The sequence below is a fragment of the Homo sapiens genome, chromosome 7, assembly GCF_000001405.40.
Source record: "Homo sapiens chromosome 7, GRCh38.p14 Primary Assembly".
In the NCBI taxonomy this organism is placed as follows: domain Eukaryota; kingdom Metazoa; phylum Chordata; class Mammalia; order Primates; family Hominidae; genus Homo; species Homo sapiens.
Genome location: NC_000007.14, coordinates 106,399,613 through 106,401,644, shown reverse-complemented (window position 1 = coordinate 106,401,644; position 2,032 = coordinate 106,399,613). Strand labels below are relative to the sequence as shown.

The 2,032-nt window shown below is 37.7% G+C and overlaps 1 annotated feature.

Annotated features, from left to right (window-relative positions):
* Positions 205-898: an enhancer, noted in NCBI's record as "OCT4-NANOG hESC enhancer chr7:106041193-106041886 (GRCh37/hg19 assembly coordinates)". NCBI's record gives its function as "activates a minimal SCP1, AML or CMV promoter by ChIP-STARR-seq in naive H9 embryonic stem cells {active_cell/tissue: H9 hESC(naive)}" and the evidence as "EXISTENCE:reporter gene assay evidence [ECO:0000049][PMID:30033119]".

Here is a 2,032-nt window from a genome sequence, read left to right as displayed (position 1 = left end):
ATCAAGACTTTAAAGCACCCCTAACTCTGATAATAAAACAGTTCTTCTCTATTGTACCTGGTTTTTCTAAAAGCCAGATGATGCCTTTATTTCCTCCTGATCCCAGGTTCCTGCTTCCCATTTGTCCACCCACAAAGTTCCTGTTTCTTCTCCAGGTGGGAGCTGAGATGAGGAAGCGAGGGTCTGGGTTCAATTATTCTATCACAGAACAAAACTTGACATAGACACTAACAAGATTATTGTCCTCTCACCTGGTCATTAGCTGGAGTGTTCAAAACCAGGAAAATCTGTCATGTGGGGCTGCCTTTTACCATGAACCAAAGGGGCAGGGGTCACAATCCCACCACTGTAATAGGAACTCTTGACACATTGTCTAAAGACAAAAGGCAAAATCTGATGCATTTAAATGATTAGAGCCTGTGCAGAGCCAGCTACTTGACAATAACAGCCATGTCGCTTTGACAACGTATCTTGCACTAATGATCACACAATCCTCTGGAGGAAAGATGCTACTTCTGAGAAATGATCAAAGCTTTACTACAGATTTGTATGACAAAAGACACACATTTTATATAGAGTTCCTGAAGATTTCAAGGAACAAGGAGCTCACTACATTTAAAAGCTACCTATTGCATTGTAAAGCCATTTAATCGGCTCTTTTGTTATTGAAAATTTGGATTCTATTCTGACCTCTGGGCTGACACTGAATACATTTAATCCCCCTTACATATGATCAGAGTCAATTTTAGATTTTAGAAAATCTATTTAATCTGAGAAAGCTTGTACCTATCTAAAATATGACCGGGTCTCCAGCACAGCTTATTTTTACCTAATACTGTCCATCCAAATTTAAAAGTGTCTCTAGATCATTAGCAAACTTCTTAACAATGCTAGTATTATTACTTATTATAAAGTTATCTGTTTGAAAGGACATTTTTAGAATAAATCTTCTTTTCTCTTGTTATACTTCCGCCAGAAATGAGGATCAAGGTTCTCCTTGGGTTATATATGTTTCCCAAAGCGAGAATCCAAGAAATGGCCAATCCTGACTTAGCCCTTTCTTCTCCGTGACATTTAATGTTATCATTGCTTATTCTCACTTCACTTACTTTAGTCCCATCAGATTTGTGGTTGATGAAATGGAGTTTTGAAATATTAGCCTATATTCTTTGTAAATGTAGCCCACCCATATAGCCAAAAAGGTTGGCTGTCTCACATTTCTGCCTGATTATATATGGGATGCTTATATTCGCCATGCCTAAAAATAGACTTATCACACTCTGTACTTATCATATAAGCTGAAGAACATGTTTTTCTAAGAAACCACAAATATTGGGTTCTATCCTTATAATGAAATGCACATTTTCCTTTAAGAGGAAAAATCTTCAATTTAGAATTTGAATAAAATAGTGCTGTACAAAAGTCTATCATCTGGTTAACTTTAGAGAGCTAAAAAACTCATTTAGGATTATTCTTTGACTTTCTTTCCATGTCATTTTTCACCTGATTGTGAATTAAGTGAATCTTCACTTATTTTGAGCTGCTTTTTGCTGATGATTTATTTCTCTTAGCTGTGCAAACAGTTCTAATAAGCTACTTGACTTCAGCAGGCTGACTTGCAAACTTGAGGCTTGATTATTGCCAGTGCAAAGATGGCTTAGGGCTCCTCAACATTTCTTCAGGGAAGAGATGAGCAAGAAAGGTTTCCTTTATTCTTTTGTGTCTTATAGCTAACGATGTGCTTTCCTTTCTCCTCTGCAGCCCATCCTAAAGTCCCACTAAGATCCAGGGGACTTCAGAGAGAGGGATGGAGGTACTCCTAGTCTGATTTAGTTTGAATCTTTTTTCTTTTTTAGAGCCATCAAAAGGCTGGTCCTTAGCATCTAGAATATCTGTCTCCTCCTGACACTCAGTTGAGATTTGTAAAGGTATTTATGAAGGCCTTTTGCAAAAGGTAGAGGGGACAGGAAAAGGAAGATACTTCTGCTGACATAGTCCTGCCTCACTCTTCCCTATTCCCTTGACCTTGTCT